The 21,143-nt window shown below is 39.2% G+C and overlaps 1 protein-coding gene across 5 annotated transcripts in view; it reads right to left on the bottom strand.

Annotated features, from left to right (window-relative positions):
• Positions 1 to 21,143, bottom strand: part of TTC27 (tetratricopeptide repeat domain 27) — a 193,002-nt gene that overhangs the window by 85,046 nt on the left and 86,813 nt on the right. For all 5 annotated transcript variants that reach the window (NM_017735.5, XM_011532958.3, XM_005264416.3 and 2 more), the window contains exon 11: positions 2,083 to 2,178. In NM_017735.5, the coding sequence (NP_060205.3) occupies positions 2,083 to 2,178 (96 nt within the window). The remainder of the gene's footprint in view (positions 1 to 2,082; positions 2,179 to 21,143) is intronic.

Below are 21,143 nucleotides of genomic sequence, written 5' to 3'. Positions count from 1 at the left end.
GTGTTGTTCTCTCTTAAGTATACTTTTACTACTCTGAAAATTCAACACATATTTAAGAGTTAAGTCCAGAAAAATCTAGGACTGATAATATCAGAAATATGCCTAAAAATTATAAGCTACAGATTATCAAAATAAATAATGAGAATGATCCAATACATCAGTAACCCATGGAATACAGGAGAATCTGGCTATTTTAGAGAATATAATTGGACATTTTCAAAAACTGCCCATGGCATGTGAGAGCTGGAATAAATCTTGGTGCTTATGCAGTGAGCAGTACAATATCTTCATTTAACAGATGAAGAAAGTTGATGACATCCAAGATGATATGGCTAGTTAGTAGCAAAGTAGAGACTAATTCTCTTTTTATAATAAACTGTTCTGTTATTTCTCAATCTTTAAAATAATACACAAAGATAGTCCCCATGATGCAAGAAAAAGTAATTAACGTCTTAATGAAAAATGATCCTTATCTAACTGCCTGAAGATCCTGAAATCTACAGCTTCCTAGGCAGATAAGCATTTGGCCTAAATTCAGTTTGAACAGTATTTGTTTCCTAATGTTTCTGTTCAGAAAAAGATAAAAAGCAACACCCTCAATAGACACATTTTGTCATAACAGCTCAGTCTGAAATGTTTATCCATCAAACCACATAATATAAAGCACCTAACCAATTTCACAGATCAGAGTCAAAAACACACTAAAAAATTCCAGCTGTTAACACATTCTTGATGAAGAAGCTATTCCTTTTGAGATATCATAAAGCTTTTTTACTTGCATATGTTTTATTGAGATTCCTTCAATATGTAAACTGAACTCCAATGCACAATAAACCTCCTAGTTCACCCTGTGTTTAAGAATATAACCTACTTTAAGAAGTCTTATAATGGGGATTTTAAACGATTGGATGGTGGGTTGGCATTTATGTTTCTAACTCACTACCTATGTGTATGATCCATGAAAGAGAGGACAGAAAACTGGTTAAAATAACAATAGTAGATAAATCATCTGTAATCCCCTGGCTGGCTCCATCTGACTCCACTTAACCTCTCTGTGACTTAGCTTCCTCACGTGTAAAACAGATATTTTTAAAAATTGTTGCAATAAAATAAGAGAATATGTGTGGAATGCAGAATAAAATATATGCATCATATTAAGTATGCAGTAAAAGTTGGTTGTTATTAGCTGGTATAATTTCAACCCAATGAAAAGCTAAGGAAAAGAGATAGATTAAAAGTGAGGAAACTAGAAACCTAGTTCATGTAGATTGGGTGATCAACACCAGAAAACTAATTGCACCGAGCCTCAATTTCTCCTCTGTAACATTAAGAAACTGGGTCAGGTGTCTTAAGTTATTTTCAGTGCTAAAATTTTACAAAATAGGGAACTACACCTATAATACAGGAGAACCATGTAGACAAGGGGCCAGAATCCCCACCCCACCATGTGCCATTAGGAGCTACAGTAGGTATTCTCATAGCCTCAGAAAGAGGAGAGTAGTCATGTGTATCTCACAACTTAAAGTATACCAAATAAATGCTTTCTTTTGCTTTTTGTAAACAACTTGTTTAAAAGGTTCCTTCTTTGGCAGAAAGTCCTTAAAATAATTTTAATATAAGAAATTATTTCAAAGCCAGGCATGGTAGTGCACATCTGTAGTCCCAGCTGCTCAGGAGGCTGGAGGCAAGAGTGATTGCTTAAGCCCAGGGGTTCAAGGCTGTAATGCACAATGATCACACCCGTGAATCGCCACAGCACTCCAACCTGTACAGTAAAGCAAGACCTCATCCCTTAAAAAAAAAGAAGTTACTTTCAAAATGCAAGCATTTATGATTCTATTATTTTATTTCTAGGATTCTATTTCATAAGATTTTAAATTATTTTAAAAATGTTTTATGAGTCTAATATCACTTTAATCAAAATAGCAATTTGAAGTAGTTAGCAATTCCCAGGCAGATACATTTATTATCTTTAGCAAAATATTTGAAAATTCAAACATAAATTAAAATCATCAATTTATAATGCATTTACCTTTCTAATGCCAAGTAATTTCCATACCCAATGACAAACAACAGAAATACCTGAATGGCCCAGTGAGGTGGTACTTGACAGCAATAGAAAATCTTCAGGCGTTCCAATACAGATGTAGTTTTATCTTCAAATTGGTCTGCAAGAGCCTTAAAGGACATATATCACAATCAGAATCTATATGTATAACTTATAATATAAATAAGTCCTTATTGTAATAGTTATACAAATGCACATATAAACAACAAAGAACTTAAGTCATTTTGATAAGGTGATAGGATGTGTGAATTTTTTCTCGAATTTCTTTAAATGTTCAAAAAACTTTAAACCTAATCCACATTTACATAAACATGTACATTAAAAACTTACCAGAAAAAGTTTTAATTTCCTATAATAGTTCTTTCAAAGAGCTAGCCTTATTGATAAGCCTTTTTACTTCTTCTATGAAGAACTGTTCTTTAGCTTATCTATTTCACAACATAATGCCACTTTGACCATGGCACTTTATAATATAAATCAGAGAAAAATTACATGAAGAACTCTATGTAGGATTATTTGCTCAGGAATAAAATGAAAGGAAAAAGTAGCCTATTTGATCACAGAGAGCAAGTTCTCTCACTCTTCAGCAACAGAGCAATAAGGCTGGACATTCACTCATGTGAGACCATCTATACAGTGCAGTGGGCAGCTGCAACCCACATACATGAAAGAATCCCTCTGATGTACTGAAATTTCTACAATGGTACTGAATAACTAAACTCTCAGAAGCTACATCAAGAAGCAGACCAACAAGACCAAAATAGCTGACTTTGAGACAAGGTACCAGGGCCAACTGCAAACTCAAAGCTGGAGCTATCCAGTGGTCAAATGATTCGTCATAGAAGAGCTCATGTATTCAGCATCAAAGCGAATGAAGACACATTGTGGGATTGCTAGAGAAGCATGTGGACAGCAGCCCCATTATCATGATCATTTTCTCCTGCCTCTTCATTTGCCATTCAGTTTACATTAAGTGTACATATTTTTCTGGTATTATACACTTATACCTACTCTCAACTGAGAATTATCATGATCTTTTTTCTACAATGCAGTACTCAAATTTTCTTTTTTTGCCAGTTGACTAGTTTTCACAGGCCTCTCTTATGAGGATTAGACGGTAGTGAAAAGTCAATGTTAATTTCCTGATGTTATTATGCATACTGGGTTATGTAGGAGAATGTCGTTCTCATATTTGAGGATGATGAAGCACCATGTTGGCAACTTACTCTCCAAAACTTCGGGATGCAAAAGACAGTTGCACTGTTCTTGCAACTTTTTGGTAACTTGGAAACTGTTTAAAATTTTTACAAAATTAATTTTTTAAATGGAAAATTTCAAAAAATAGTAAAAAAGGGAGCAAGTCCAAGCCTCAGGAGAAAAAAAAAGGACGGGAATCTACCATGTCCTGGTAAAAATCTAAGACAGGGAGACCAGTTTCTGAGCAGGGAGGCTTCTCCTAAATTGAAAGTTCTCTATTTTACACTGGCTGGGAGATACATTTATTAGCCTAAGAATATCTTGTGGTATGAGCTCAAGTGTGAGAAAACACACATTACACAACACTTCGTTGACAATCCAAGATGTTATTCAGTCAAGTCAGTCAGAGCAAACTGAGACATAACCAGACTCCTAAACCATCTTGGTCAAAATATGTTTAAAGCTTTCTGGCCTCACTTCATAGAAACTTAATAGCAAAAAGATTGCATGCTGCTGCCCAAAGCTGTTTAGTTGTGGGAGGGAGGGTAGAGAAGAATAACTTCTGGCTGCATACATATGGTTACAATACATAAATAAAGAGATCACTGAGTTACTTCATAAAAGGAGAACAAATTACTTCATAGAGAAGGGATACTTTTTTATCAATTCAGTTTTTTTTGGAAAGAAAAAATAACTAATGCTCTCCATTAATAATAAAAACAAAAGCAACATTGTAAAATTTACTATTACTAACACCTAATAACATGCAAAAAATTAATTTTCAAAAAACTCATGGTTGTTGGCTATAGTTACTAAAACTAGCTAAAGCATATTAGGTACTCAGTAAATATTTCCTCATTTACTAATAAACACATTTATTATGTATTTCAGATACTCTCAGATACTTTTGGAGTTTTTAAGTGTCTCTTACAACTCTCGGATACTCTCCAAAATGGCAAAGACCACTAAAGACAGTGCAGAGAACCAACACTCATTTGACCTGAATGCCATGAATAAGCCCCCATACAAAAACCTGATTAAGCCATATGCATGATAAAGATCAAAAACAGAACTCTAGGTTGGGTGCCACCCCAAGCACTTTGGGAGGCCAAAGTAGGAAGATCACTTGAGCCCTGGAGTTCAAGACCAGCCTGGGCAACATGGTAAGACCACATCTCCACAAAAAAATCGTTAAAAAATAGCCAGGGTTGGTGGCACGTGCCCATGGGCCCAGCTATTTACGAGGCTGAAGCAGGAGGATCACTTGAGCCCAAGGAGGTCAAGGCTGCAGTGAGCTAGGTTTGTGCCACTGCACTCCTGCCTGGGTGACAGAGCAAGCCCTGTCTCAGAAGGAAAAAAAGGGGCCAGGCACAGTGGCTCACGCCTGTAATCCCAGCATTTTGGGAGGCTGAGGCAGGCGGATCAGGAATTCAAAACCAGCCTGGCCAACATGGTGAAACCCCGTGTCTACTAAAAATACAAAAATTAGCCGGGCATGGTGGTGCATGCCTGTAATCCCAGCTGAGGCTGAGGCATGAGAATCACTTGAGCCCAGGAGGCGGAGGTTGCAGTGAGCCGTGATTGCACCAATGCACTGCAACCTAGGCAACAGAGTGAGACTCTGTCTCAAAAAACAAAGAAACAAAGGAACAAAAACACAAAAAAAACCCCACACATACACACGCAACGGAACTCTAGCCTATTTTCACTCCTGCACAGAAAATATTTCTTCCTGCCTTATGCATGACAACCATCTACATAAAATTTAACTATCAACGAAAACTAAGAACATTAAATTAATATACAAAAGTTAAGGCTTGGCCGGGTGCAATGGCTCATGCCTGTAATCCCAGCACTTTGGGAGGCCGAGGTGGGAGGATCACTTAAGGTGAGGAGCTCTAGAACAACCTGGCCAACATGGTGAAACCCCATCTCTACTAAAAATACAAAAATCAGCCGGGTGTGGTGGCGCAGGCCTGTAATCCCAGCTACTTGGGAGGCTGAGGCAGGAGAATTTCTTGAACCCAGGAGGCGGAGGTTGCAGTGAGTCAAGATCACGCCACTGCACTCCAGCCTGGGTGACAGAGTGAGACTGTCTCAAGAAAAAAAAAAAAAAAAATAAGAAAGTCTTGATAGGTGTACTGTTTATTTGCCTACTTCCTCTACTGGATCCAAAGTACTCTTTTTTTTTTTAATTTGCTAATTTACTAAAAAGACAGGGACATTGTTATAGTGCATGTCTAGGTTTTTCAGACCAGGATTATTTCTAGCAACGCAATCTGAAATAATTCCATCATATTCAACCAAACCTGAGTCCTTTACAGGCACAATAAATGGAAGAAAATCAGTGACGGCAAGTGAAGCCACTTGGATTATGTCCTTGTTCTATCCCCAGCAAGCAAGTAGTTTAACTACAATGGCATTTTTCTATGAGATGATTTTTTGAACAATACTTGTGTTTTCAATGGTCTAGGAGTATGGCTTTATCAAAAGAGTATTTTGTTTTACTTCAAGCATTTCAGAAGGTTTGTTGATTAATTTTAAGCCGAACACAAGTATTAGGTACATTCATTAGAAGCAAACCATGTGCCCAAATAGCCTGGAAGAAGACAATGGAAGAATGTCAGGTACTGTGAGAATGGGACTGAATGCACGTGAAGCCTCACTACTATTGAGGTATTTATGTGCATGAATGCGAATATAAACAATGTGCTCCATGAGATAGAAGTACCTCGCAAGCTTTCACACACGCCCAGAAATTTAGGTAAATGGTCTCCAAAGCAGTGTGTCCTACCCTTGCACTTACCCATTTTCTCTTTCCAGTTTCTAAATTTCATTAATTTTAGGGCTTAGTCATAAGTAAAAAGTGGTATGAGGAGGTGGTCTTTAAGGAAAGATGATAATGTCAAAAATGGAGACAGGGGGAGAAGAAGCAAATATACCCTAAACCAATCATTAAGGGCAGTTTGAAGCAAGACAGTCTACTCTAGGTGGATGACTGAAGAGATGTGAATAAACGTAAAAGGTAACAAGCAGAGAGAGAGGAGGCCCCTGGGGCGCGGTCCAGAAGTAGGGGCTGGATATACCAGAGGTGACTTCATGTTGCATGGACTACTGTGATATGAGACTGTTTTCAAGTTTTAAGACTCCCTTTTAATGCCATTTACTCCCTAACTCCGCCTAAAGACATTTATACTTTCAGTGTCCTTTGAGAATATGTATTTGTGCATAAAGACCCCCTAACCCCATGCAATAACAATTCCCAAATCTTCCAGGAGCCACAGTGTCACAGGTCAAGGGATATCTCTATGGAATGGGGAATAAAACCCAAGAAAGCAATGATGTCCCCTCTCCTTTCAATGCTCTGTTTTCAACAGAGAAGGAATTTCCCAGAAAAAAACTAGAGAAGATCAAAACTACATTTTAAAATTAGCACATGGAGAATGATTTAGTAAAAAAGGACAATTCTGAAAAATGTCTGGTATGATTTAGACTTATTTATATGTTCTCATCTAAAAGTATGGCACACGTTTTCAAAAGAATAGAGATAGTCCCAAAGGACCTACCCTTTTCCTGAAAGCTATCCATTCTCACTAGCATGACATCTACGTGTTCATTGGCTTTTTGAAGGGTCAGGTAGAAATTAGCTGATAATCTAAAAGTTATGACTGATCATATGCCATATCACTTTATGCTGGCTTTGCTGTGCAATCTTTGTACGTGTGTGTGTGTGTGTGTGTGTGTATAGGAAGATGGAATTTATTATAAAAATATGTATATAATCCAATAGTTGAGCCAAACAGCTTTCTCTAACAGGAGTCTGCAGTCAATTCAGCTGTAATTTACAAATAGACTAGTCAAGCTCATTGCCATCTCAAACCTCCAAGCCCAAGAAAATTGCCAATGGGAACAGGGAGAATAACAATTAAAACTGTTAACACACCTAGTAAGTATCAACACCATCATTAAACTTATTGTGAACCCAGTCTTTCCTCATACATAGAACACTGTTGCTGTGAGAGATAAAAATGACTTGCCCAAAGTCATAAGGCGATGAAATAGGTGAGCCTGTCAGACTCCAAAGACCACAGTTGGCAACTTTATTAAAACCTTCTGTAAAACTATGTGATCAATGTCAGATGTGTCAAAATTGAAAGCAGCTTCTCATTGGAAAAATACTGAGAACTCTATTTAACTGTCTTATTTACACATAAATCCAAAAATATGGGAGACAGGGTGTGGCCTGATCAAGGAGATGCTCAGTTATTGCTTCTGCCCCAGAAACGACAGACTTTAGGGTATGGGTTGGTAGGAACTGGGTCTACTAATGGGAGATGGGAGAACCTAGATCCTCTTTTTGTGATTACAGGCTGAAAAGATGAACTTTAAGAGGCAGTCCTGGCCGGGCGCGGTGGTTCACGCCTGTAATCCCAGCACTTTGGGAGGCCGAGGCCGGCGGATCACAAGATCAGGAGATCGAGACCATCCTGGCTAACAGGGTGAAGCCCTGTCTCTACTAAAAATACAAAAAAATTAGCCGGGCGTGGTGGTGGGCACCTGCAGTCCCAGGTACTCGGGAGGCTGAGGCAGGAGAATGGTGTGAACCCGGGAGGTGGAGCTTGCAGTGAGCAGAGATCACGCCACTGCACTCCAGCCTGGGCGACAGCGAGACTCTGTCTCCAAAAAAAAAAAAAAAAAAAAAAGAGGCAGTCCTCTCAGGAGGCCCAGATGGCTATCATGCAGCCGTCCCCTTAATCAGTCACACTTTGGGTGAGCAGTTCAACCTTCTGTTTCCAAGACCCCTTTAAACTCTTATAAATTATTAAGGGACTCGAAGCTTTTCTTTCTGTAAGTTATAATCCATCAATATTTATCATATTAGAAATAAAAACAGGAAAATTTAAATGTTCATTAATTCATTTAAAAAGAAAAATCTATGACATTAACAAAAATAGCATGCTTTATAAAAAACAACTACCTTTTCCAAAACAAAACAAAACAAAAAGTCTTGAAAAGAGTGGCATCATCTTAACAATTCTGCAAATCTCTTTAATGTATGGCATAATAGATGATAGCTAGATCCTCAGATCTGCTTCTGCAGTCAATCTGTTGCAATATAATATTTTGTTTGAAGTTTATGGAGGAAATCTGTCCTCACACAGATAGGTAATTGAACAGGGAAAGAGTATGTTAGTAGCTTTTTCAGTTAATTGTGGATATTATTATTTGATACTACACCAAAATTCAACAGATGCTGGTTTCTTAAAGGTTATTTGTAATGTGGAATTTGAAATCCTATCAATGAACCTTTCTTTGTTACATTAAATACTCTGTTATAATAAAATCCACTGGTCTAAAAACAAACAAGAAAGTACTCACTGGTCAGTCTCGACTTTGAATACTGATTGTGTAACATCATGCACTAGTTTTTTGGAAAATGAGCTGATCTTCCCAATGTGGACACATTTCACAAAAAAATTTAAAACTACATGCATTAATATCACCACAATCTCATCAGAAAAATCTTGTCTCAATATTTAAAATATTAGGAAGCTATGAAGTTCATAGTTGCAGATAGAGGTTTTCCGAAACTCTCATTTTTTTCTTGGAAGTTCAAAATTTTATCATTGGTAACTGATATGGTTTGGCTGCATCCCCACCCAAATCTCATCTTGAATTCCCACATGTTGTGGGAGGGACCCGGTGGGAGGTAATTGAATCACGGGGGCAAGTTTTTCCTGTGCTGTTCTCGTGACTGTGAATAAATCTCACAGGATCTTATGGTTTTATAAAGTGGAGTTCCCCTGCAAAAGCTCTCTTTCTTTGACTGCTGCCATCCATGTAAGATGTGACTTGCTGCTCCTTGCCTTCCACCATGATTGTGAGGCCTCCCCAGCCACGTGAAACTGTAAGTCCATTAAACCCCGTTTTCCTATGTAAATTACCCAGTCTTGGGCATGTCTTTATCAGCAGCATGAAAATGGACTAACACAGTAAATTGGTACCAGTAGAGTAGGTTGCTGCTGGAAAGATACACAAAAATGTGGAAGCAACTTTGGAACTGGGCAACAGGCAGAAGTTGGAACAGTTTGGAGGGCTTAGAAGAAGACAGGAAAATGTGGGAAAGTTTGGAACTCCTTACAGACTTGTTGAATGGCTTTGACCAAAATGCTGATAATGATATGGACAATGAAACTCAGGCTGAGGTGGTCTCAGATGGAGATGAGGAACTTGTTGGGAACTAGAGCAAAGGTGACTCTTGTTATGTTTTAGCACAGAGACTAGAGGCATTTTGCCCCTGCCCTAGAGATGTGTGGAACTTTGAACTTGAGAGAGATGATTTAGGGTATCTGGTGGAAGAAACTTCTAAGCAGCAAAGCATTCAAGAGGTGACTTGGATGCTGTTAAAGGCATTCCGTTTTATAAGGGAAGCAGAGCATAAAAGTTCGGAAAATTTGCAGCCTGCCAATGCGATAGAAAAGAAAATCCCATTTTCTGAGGAGAAATTCAAGCCAGCTGCAGAAATTTGCATAAGTAACCAGGAGCCGAATGTTAATCCCCAAGACAATGGGGAAAATGTCTCCAGGGCGAAAGGGGTCTTCACAGCAGCCCCTCCAATAACAGGTCCGGAGGCCCAGGAGGAAAGAGTGGTTTTGTGGGCCGGGCCCAGGGTCCCTGTTCTGTGTGCAGCCTAGGGACTTGGTGCCCTGTGTCCCAGCCATTCCAGCTGTGGCTGAAAGAGGCCAATGTAGAGCTTGAACCATGGCTTCAGAGGGTGCAAGCCTCAAGCCTCAAGCCTTGGCAGCTTCTGTTGGTGTTGAGCCTGTCAGGGCACAGAAGTCAAGAACTCAGGTTTGAGAACCTCTGCCTAGATTTCAGAGGATGTGTGGAAATGTCTATGTGTCCAGGCAGAAGTTTGCTGCAGGGGCAGGCTGTCATGAAGAACCTCAGCTAGGGCAGTGCAGAAGGGAAATGTGGGGTCGGAGCCACCACACAGAGTCCCTACTGAGGCACTGCCTAGTGGAGCTGTGAGAAGAGGGCCACCATCCTCCAGACCCCAGAATGGTAAATCCGCTGACATCTTGCACCGTGTGCCTGGAAAAGCTGTAGACTCTCAATGCCAGCCCATGAAAGCAGACAGGAGGGAAGCTGTACGCTGCAAAGCCACAGGGGTGGAGCTGTCCAAGACCATGGGAACCCACCTCTTCCATTAGGATGACCTGGATGTGTGACAAGGAGTCAAAGGAGATCATTTTGGAGCTTTCAGATTTGATTGCCCCGCTGGATTTCGGACTTGCATGGGGCCCATAGCCTCTTTGTTTTGGTCAATTTCTCCCATTTGGAATGGCTGTATTTACCCAATGCCTGCACCCCAATTGCATCTAGGATGTAACTAACTTGTTTTTGATTTTACAGGCTCATAGGCAGAAGGGACTTGCCTTGTCTTGGATGAGACTTCGGAATGTGGACTTTTGAGTTAATGCTGAAATGAGTTAAGACTTTGGGGGACTGTTGGGATGGCATGATTGATTTTGAAATGTGAGGACATGAGATTTGAAGGGGCCAGAGGTGAAATAATACGGTTTGTCTGTGTCCCCACTCAAATCTCATCCTGAATTCCCACATGTTGTGGGAGGGACCCAGTGGGAGGTAACTGAATCATGTGGGGCAACTCTTTCCCGTGCTGTTCTCGTGATAGTGAATAAGTTTCACAAGATCTGGTGGTTTTATAAAGAGAAGTTTCCCTGCGCAAGCTCTCTCTTTGTCTGCTGCCATCCACGTAAGATGTGACTTGCTCCTCCTTGCCTTCCACCATGATTGTGAGGCCTCCTTGGCCACATGGAACTCTAAGTCCATTATACCCTTTTTCCTGTATAAATTACCCAGTCTTGGCTATGTCTGTATCAGCAGCATGAAAATGGACTAATACAGTAACAAATATTGTCAATTATTTTCCTTGAAGTGATGCACTTACTTCATTTATTTTTTGGGGAATTTCCACCAAATACCCAAGTCTGAATAATCAGTTCATCTGTCAATAGTCCTTTCAAGCAAAAATAATGTTCCATGGGAAAAAGTTTCTTCCTGAGACAACCATTGTACTTTAGCAAGTGGCACAAGTTTTTTGTAAGTACTTTCCATTTTATCACATAGAATTTTAAAAAGGCATGTTCTTGAGGGTAAAGATGACAAAATAATATTTACTGCTTCATCAAAGACATTTCTAAACACAACTGTCTTAAAAAAAAAAACTGTGTGGTGGTGAGGCATTCAGTGACTACTAGCACAGTCTGGTAGCCATAGTCTGGTGCCCCACCTTGATTTTGACAAAGGGGCCAGGAGTTTGACTCCCCTGCCCTTCCACTGCTTCTGGACCAATATGCAAATATCAACACAGTGAAAAGGCAAACAATATCTCACTGCCCTTATTATGAAGATGGTTTTGACCTATGGACACTCTGAAATGGCCTAAGGACTCCCAGGGATCCACAAGCCCTACTTGATAACTGCTGCCTTAGGATTAGTAAAAGTACAAGCTCTTATGCCTTCCCTACAGCCCATCTACCTCCAATTTTCTCCCAAAACTTCTCCAGGGGACCCTGCTTAGTGTCTTAAGACATTAGTGTCTTAATGAAAGCACAAGTCACCCTGTTTACAATCTGCAAATTTTATGAGGGCAAAGAATAACAAATATTTATTGATTATTAAAACCTGAGTGAATGTTTTAAACTCTTAGTATTATCCTTTCTATAAAAAAAAAAAAAAAAAGCTTATGTATGCCAGCTGGTGGCTCATGCCTTTAATCGTAACACTTTGGGAGGCCAAGGCAGAAGGATCACTTGAGGCCAGGAGGTTGAGGATGCAGTGAGCTATGATTATGCCACTGCACTCCAGCCTGAGTGATAGAGCAAGACAAAGGAAGAAAGAAAGAGAGAAAGAGAGTAAGACAGAGGGAGGGAGAGAAGGAAGGAAGGAAGGAAGGAAGGAAGGAAGGAAGGAAGGAAGGAAGGAGGGAGGGAGGGAGGGAGGGAGGGAGGGAGGGAGGAAGGAGCTGAGTCTAACAATAATTAGCTACTACTTTCATGAGTAAGTGTCAGCCAAATGCAAGGCACCTATTCTAAGTGAGCTCAATTTCAATTGGCCCCAGAGAGTTGGCCCTCAATAACACCTTAAAGGTTCCTGCTAGCATTCATCCCGTTAAATCATAGCACTGTACCCCAGAGCTTGGTGTATACCCGTTTGGCCTCTGTTCTATGTGTACCTGGGGAGAGAGAAAAACATCTGGAGATGCTAAAGAACAACAGGCCACCTCTACTTAAGGCAGCCTTTCCCAAACATGCCCATAATCAACACTCTAACCCTGAATCTCTGCGGGCTAGGCTGAAGATCTATATTTTAACCACCCCCACCAAGAGCTGGTACATATGTTCAGCAAATTTGGAAAATGCTGCGTAAGGATGTTAAGATGTACGCAGTGTTATCTCAGGGAAAACTAAAGCATGAATTCAATCACCGTAATCTGACCTTGTCCAAAGAACTTAAGTTTGTTCCTCCTTGGGAATCTGACTAAAGTTATTATTTAGTGCCTTTGAAAGTGTGCTTTAAGCGAATATATTTTACTTCATCCCATTAATACATTCCTTTATTATTACCTACTTTTCACTTTTCTGTAACTTTCTAGGGCTTTTTTTAGTATCACTAGTAAAGGTTCCTTTATATTGTGTGTTACTTGTCCACTTACCTATAAGCTACTCGTTGCATATTTTTTACCCCTCTATTCTCAGGAAGCTCATATCCTGGATTCAGCCCATCAGTGTCGCTCTTGGCAGCCCCCTTTCTTGGCCTTATCAGAAGCCAATTTCATTCATCCATTTGCATGTTCTTTTCCCACACAGAACCATGTCCTGAGATTGTGTGCCCTCCATTTCCCTCCCCTTCAACCTGAATTGTAGGCCTTAAGACACTGAGTTCTGCAACCTAAACCTTTCTCACAAAAGTCTCGATTAACTTCTTCCTGCCTGTGGTCATTCCACTCCTTTCCTCCAGATGATGCCAGTCTTCTACTGATATCACGTTTCCTTTGTAAGCCAGTTCTCATAGCTTCCTTAGAAAGTAGGGCATGGTGGATAAAAGCATGGACTTCTAAATCAGGTGGACCTGGGGTGAACTCTAGTTCAGCTATGAGACCTTGGGTAAGTAATTTAAACTTTCTGTGCCTCAGTTTCTTCATCAGTAAAAATGTACATAATGACTCCTCCCTAGGATTAGTTACCACCTGGCATATGAGTGTTCAGTAAAGTAACAATACACAGTTAATTAAATGGCAGTAACTACACACAGCTCTGTATAAACAGTAGCAACTATAATTATTCCAACAAATAAAACCACAGCTACAATCACATGAGCAACTCCTAACACTACTTTTCAATAACTTTCAAATGCACACAGTTATTAATGCAGATGAAATACAGAGCTAGAATGAAAGACACATGTTCATATCTCAGATATGTGAAAATCTTGATGGCATGACCCAGCACACTATACATGTGCTGTACTATACATGAGGCACTGTAATTATCTCAATGTTGTTCAGGTTTCCCAGGTAGTAATGACTGCTTTTAATCAGTTATGAAGGAACGGCAGTTTTCTTATTCTTGTACCTAAACTTCCCCTCCTATAAAGTGAAGATGATAATAAGAGTCAACGTTTATTGAAGATTGACTATGTACCAAGCACTATTCCAGGCATTTCACAAGTATCACCATTGGTATGAGGTAGGCTTGACAGCCATCCCCACCCTACCAATAAGGAAAGTGAAGCACTGCTAGGCACGGTGACTTATACCTAGAATCCCAGTGCTTTGGGAAGTTGGGGCCAGGAGTTCAAAACCAACCTGGGCAATATAGCAACATCTCACCTCTAAAAAAATGAAAAAATTAGCCAGGCATGGTTGTGTGTGCCTATAGTCCCAACTACTTGGGAGGCAAAGGCAGGAGGATGGCTTGAGCCTCAGAGCTTAATCATTCCACTGTACTCCAGTGAGTTATAATCATTCCACTGTACTCCAGCCTGGGTGACACAGCAAGACTCTGCCTCTAAAAGAAAAAAAAAAAAAAAAAGAGAGAGAGAGAAAGAAAAGTGAAGCCCAGATAAGGTGAGGAAGCTTAACAATCTTGGCCATAGCAGCTTGTGATTTATCTTCCTCTTGGATTGTGAAGTCTATGGATAACGAAATCTGGTGCTACTGTGACAACAACCTTCCTGATACTGTAGAAGGTGGAGAAAAGCAAAGATATGAGAATGAGGATGGGAAAAGCAAGAAAAAGAAAGGCCTGATGATCTCTTTGAACCCCTGAATCCAGCTATCTCCGAGACTGGGATATCCCTAGAACTCTCAGTTATAATAGCCAATTTATTTCCTTTTCTATGGCCAGTTTGAATTGGGTTTCTGTCCCTTACAACTAAATGACTCCTCATTGCGACCTGTTCTTAAAAATTCTTAAATTTTACTGAGACAGAAGGTCAAGAGTCATGAAAAGCTCTAAATTCTATTTGTCCATTACAAGAACCTTACATTTAGGGGGATTTAAAATAAGCATGAAAATAAGCATAAAATCAAATGTAATTTTTCAAATTTTGAAGCCATACCCACTCATTAGGCAAACCAAATACAGCCATGGTCAGCTTAAATGACTAGATCATGTGCTACACTCCACTTCCCAGTCCTTCTTTAATGACTCCATAATGGCAGCTGGAGATTCTCTACTCACACAAATAGTTACACATCAAGGGCAATACCAAGTCTGCCAAGTATAATGCATGTGAACTTACTTCTGTGAAGAAGATATGCGAAAATACAATAGAGCACACGAATATTCTGAGACGCTAACACATGAGAGAGTAGTCTTTAATAGAGAATAAATGACCGGTTCATAATATAAAGGAAAGCTTTGTCTTCTGGTATGCTAAAAAATACAGAGTGAACATATTTCCGGTAAATTAAGGAGTTAATTTGAACTTCAGGCTCTTATTACTTCTTAGGAGCACATAGGGTACTGAATTATGCATTAATTCACTATTTTTTAGGAAACCCAATAAGAAAAACTGTCATGGCTTCATCTCTTTTCCCTTCCCTTAAAAAAATACAACCAACCAAACTGAATTACTACCCTATGTTGACCTCAGTGTAATCACAGTGACTATTCTGTTCCTGTTAGCTTTGGCATTGGGGCTTGTTACTACACTAAAAATTTGGACTGGAATGATATCAGAAAGGCTGGCCTCTACAGCTCTCAGATTATTGAAGTGCCAGATGAAAACACAGTCTTTAACTTAGCTAACTCTCAATTAGTCCTGCTAATAAGTAAGTAATTCAAAATTCTATTTTTCTAATTCATCATTTAGCAAACATCCATTGAGTGTTCATTTTGAGAATGTAAAAATAAGTAAAATATAGAAACTGACCCCTCAAGAAGCTCACATTCTAGCTGTTATGAAGGAAAGTTTTCCAAATAGAGCATAATAGAATTAATAAATGCTAAAACATAGCTATGATAACACAGAGTCCAAAAATAAACCATACACATACAGTCAGCTGATTTTTCAATGAAGGTGCCAATAAGAATGGGGAGAGGCCAGTCAGCAGTAAGGAGAGAAAGTAAGCAGTGTTGAAGCAGTCTACCTAAGAAGTGAAGATCCTGAAGTAACATAATTCACGTATTATGTTACTATTATTAGCTATAGGATAAAACTAGACTTCTGAAAGCCTTCTCTCATAAAATTTAGAATGGAGCTAAGACAGGTCAGAAGCCTGGGCTGCTGAGGGAGACTTACCCTCATGATCAATATTTGGCTGGGGGATGGGAGGTGGCAGGTGGGCATAAACCATCCTTTCCCCCTGTGAGAATACCAAGGGGAGCTTCCGGTACTGTGCCTCCACAGGAAGGCATCCTCTGTCCCTGGATGTCTTCATGGGAAACTCTGGGGTACTGGGAAACCCAGATCTGCATCTGAGATCATGCTGTATTGTCTCCAGCTTAGAGTAACTAAATATTACCTCCTGCAGCTGTGTCTGTTAGCTTCTTTCTTGCAATCATAATCTCACCCCTTTGAGAACCACACACTTCCTTAATTATTCTCAAGTTAAGATGATCTTCATAAGCTAGCTCTCTGCCCCAAACTACTGCATTCCTGCCCAATGTTCTTCTTTATGACCACATGCAGAAGGCAATTCTGATGAGCTGCTTTGACCTGAGATCTTGCTCTGGTCTAACGCCATAAAAGGAGGCCCTGTGTTAATATATTTGATGCAGAGCTAATATAAGTTTCCCATATAGTCAACCTCAATACCTGTTATCTGGGTTGTTGCATCTCTTTCTGACCCTGCTATTCCATCCTTTAAACATTTTGACCTTTTTTCTTGATGACTAGGTGCCTCTCCTAATCACTGCAAAGCCTTTTGTATCTTTTACAGCCTCCCTGAGTGCACCATCTAAGGATACCTCATACATTGTTTAGTTCACTGCTCTATGCACAGCTTCATCTGTTGGATGTCACTCTGGTGAGGGTGACCCTGTATTCCAGACTATGACTTCCATAGCTCAGAACCACTGGCCAATGCTTCAGACACCATACTGAGAGGAGGTTCTCCTCACTGGGTCTCTATCCTCTGTTTGTGGTTCTTCACTTGGGATCTTGATCCTGCTACCAGCTCCTCTGGATGCCTCCTCTGCCCCCTAGGCTTGGTCAAGCACACTGCCTTCTTGCACCACTTAGGAGATACTATCTCAGACCTCACATGTCTGTTCAGAAGGAAAGGAATGAAAGAATGAAGCAACAGGAGGTGTGAGGCTTATTTTAAAAGAGAAGCATCTTTGTTATAACAGCAAGAGTGCCCAGTTGCCTCAGATTCCCAGTTCAGAGCCTTAGGGGAAGATTTAGAGGGAAGACCCATGCCAACCCTACAGAAGCCTGCTAGTTAGCCACACTCTGGTCACAGTGCAGAGTCTGCAGTCAGCCCTGCCTTCAGTGGAAAAGCCTCTAAGACAATGAGACCCACACTGCTACAGAGGGGACTTGTGCTAACTATCAACACAATCAGCTTTGGCAATCATCAGCCATTTAAGAAAAAGCAGTACCCATGAAAAAGAAAGGCCAAGAGGAACATATAAGACAGGTCATACCTGAGGACAGATAATTCACAGGAATAATTTTTAAAATTCTAATTAATAATGCACAAATAAATTTAAATGAGATACTGTATCTATAAAACACAAAAGACTATTAAGAAAAAGGACAATCAGAAAAATACAGATTTACTGGAAATTAAAAATAATTGTCAAAATAAAAAATTTTATGAATGGACTAAATATTATTAATTGGTCAAAATGGTCAAAATTAGTAATACAGGAGAAAAGATGGAAGAAATCTCCTATAACATCAATCAAAAAGACAAACAGCTTAGAAGAGGCACAGAAGATAGATCTGGGAGGTCTCCACATAGTTCTACTAAAATTCCAAATTCAGAACTGAATTGGATAAAGAAGTCTTTTAAAGAATGAAGAAAAAAGTATAATTAATTAAAGTATAATTAAATTGTTTCATCTATAGAGTCATAATTGCTTATATTTAAATAACCCAATATATAATCCAGCAAGAGAAATAATAATTATGGCAACTAACATTTATTAAGCCCTTCCAGCCTGAGATGCTGATCTAAATATTAATTCATACAATGCTCATAAAAACTCTACTTATTCCATTATTTATGTGAGGCAACTGAGGCATAGAGAGGTTCAGTAGCTTGTCCAAGGTATAAGCAGGTATAATATATGGTAGCGCTGGGATCGGAAACCAGGCTGCATGACTCCAGAGCCCATGGTCAAATTTAGATACATCCAGAATTCCAAAAATAAAGAGAAAATTCTAAAAAATTTCAAAACAAGAAGAACAGAAAGAACTTAAAACAAGACAAAAATCAGACTGCCATACTTATTAGCAAACTTGGATGACAGACGATATTGAGGTAATGACTTCATTTAAAGTCCTGAAGAAAAATGATTTTGCAACTAGAATTCTATACACCCAAACTACTGAATTATGATGGAAAAATACTTTTCACAAAGACACAAATTTAACTACATTTGTTCTTCATGTGAAAAAGTTACACAATGAGGCAATACAAAAAAAAAGGAAACAAGAAAGATAATAACTAACAGGAAAGAAGCAGTGGTAGCTGACCATGACCTACAGCAAAGAGCAAAAAAGAAATCAGTGGAGAATCCCCTGGACCTTGATTCTTGTGACAGCTTCCTTCAAGTGGCAAACACTTAGACACGGAGCACTGCATTTCCTTCTCCATGGGTCCAATCACACCATTTGGTGTATAATCAATAATCAGTACACTCACAGCATCATCATTACAATGCTGTAAGATTGGGTTGAAGTTTTAAAAAAATCAACATATAGGCCAGACACAGTGGCTCATGCCTGTAATCCCAGCACTTTGGGAGGCTGAGGTGGGAGTATCACTTGAGGTCAGAAGTTTGAGATCAGACTGGGCAATGTAGTAGGACCCTGTCTCAAAAAAAATATTACAAATTAGTTGGGCGTGGGGGGCTGAAACAGGAGGATCACTTGAGCCCAAGAGTTCAAGATTGTAGTGAGCTGTGATCATGCCACTGCACTCCAGCCTGGGTGACAGAGTAAGACTGTCTCAAAAAAAAAAAAAAATTAAAAAAAAATCTGAGCCAGGTGTAGTGGCTCACACTTGTAATCCCAAAACTTTGGGAGGTTAAGGCTGGAGGACTGCTTGAGCCTAGAAGTCTGAGGCCAGCTTGGGCAACATGGCAAGACTCTGCCTCTACAAAAAACTTAAAAATTAGCCTGGCATGGTGATGGGTATCTATGGTCCTAGCTACTGAGGAGGCTGAGGTGGGAGGATCACTTGAGTCCAAGAGGTCAAGGCTGCACAGTGAGCCATGTTTGTACCACTGCACTCCAGCCTGGAAAACAGAGCAAGACCCTGTCTCTGAAAGAAAAAAAAAACATATAGAACAAACATACATGATAAAAATTACCCAATAGAATATAGAGTAACAATCCCCAACAATTGAAAAATAACATAAAAATGGAAGAGGAGATGAAAAGTGTGCTGATTTCTTCCTTAGTCATAGTGTGGAATCAACAGATTCTATCTAAAAAGTTGACAAATCAAGAGACAGAAGTATTAAAGAAATGTAATATTTAAAGTTATAATGGAAACCACTAGAATAACAACTAAAAAAGAAATAGCTAAAAATGAACTCAGAATTGGGGAAGAATTTATATCTTTCATTTAAAATCCTCCTGAGTGAACTAATTTTTTTATTATATGCAGTACTAAAATTTGTAATATGCAGTTTAAAAATAAAATATTAATTAAAGGACACTTTAAAAAATAAAGGATTGGTTAAATAAGTTGTAGCACTTCTATTTAAAAGAGTGACATATGGCTGCTGGAATGAATGAGCTAGATTCACAAGTACTGGCATGCAGAGCTGATCAAGCTGTTATGTTTAGAGGGAAAAAGGTTTAAAGCAATGAAGACTGGATGATCCCACTTATGTCAAAGTATATTTATGCTTACGCATAGAAAGAGGTTTAGAAGGTAAAAACTGTTGAGACTGAAAGGCAAGCAAGAGGAAAAGAAAGCTGTTGTTTTTTACTTTCCACTTCTATATTGCTTATATTTTTATAATGAGCAGTATCATTCATATAATTAAAACAATTAAGAACAGTGACACACTTCACTACTACTGACCGTGGACCTGGTCCAGGTGTTACATCTAATTCCTGCAGAGTGTGGTAATTCCATCAGTATTAAAAAAAAAAAACAAACATAAAGGACCTCTTTCTCAAATTATTCAAACACAAGTACGAGCCTCAGTGTAACAAATCCTGACAGTACATTACTGTGACTAATATTCCTCCAATCAAGGGTTTCATTATGACATGCCCTTAATCATTACTAGAATTAATGAGATAGGTCATGAGTGCCATATAAAGAAAGGACTACCAACTTTAAAGAGAAATGTTTCGGCCCACACAGGAGCAATAATCTCCACAACGGTAACAAACATGGTATTTTGGGTCTTCCTCCCTCCATAATTAACTATGATAAAAATCCCCACTCCTTCAAAGCATGCATGCAACTACACAGTATCGAGAACAGATGTTCTAATGCTGGAGGAATCACATTATCATACTTCAAACTGTACCACAAGGCCACAGAAACAAAAATAGCATGGTACTGGTACAAAAAACAGACACACAGACCAATGGAACAGAATAGAGAGCCCAGGAACAGAGCCACACACCTACAACATGTGATCTTTGAGAAAGTTGACAAAAACAAACAATGGGGAAAGGACTCCTTATTCAACAAATGGTGCTGGGATAACTGGCTAACCACATGCAGAAGACTGAAACTGGACCCCTTTCTTACCCCATATGCAAAAATCAACTCAAGATGGATTAAAGACTTAAATGTAAAACCAAAAACTATAAAATCCCTGGAAGATAACCTAGAAAGTACTATTCTGAATGTAGGGACTGGCAAAGATTCCATGATGAAGATGCCAAAAGCAATTTCAACAAAAACAAAAATTGACAAATGGAACCAAATTAAACAAAAGAGCTTTTGCACAACAAAACAATCAACAGAGTAAAGAGACAACCTACAAAATGAGAGAAAATATTTGCAAATGCATCCAACAAAGGTCTGATATCCATAATCTATAAGGAACTTAAACAAAAAACAAAAAACAACCCCATTAAAAAGTGGGCAAAGGACATGAACAGTCACTTTTCAAAAGAAGACATATGCACAGCCAACAAG

This window comes from Homo sapiens, chromosome 2, assembly GCF_000001405.40.
Source record: "Homo sapiens chromosome 2, GRCh38.p14 Primary Assembly".
Classification (NCBI taxonomy): Eukaryota; Metazoa; Chordata; class Mammalia; order Primates; family Hominidae; genus Homo; species Homo sapiens.
This window is presented reverse-complemented; position numbering and strand designations above follow the sequence as displayed.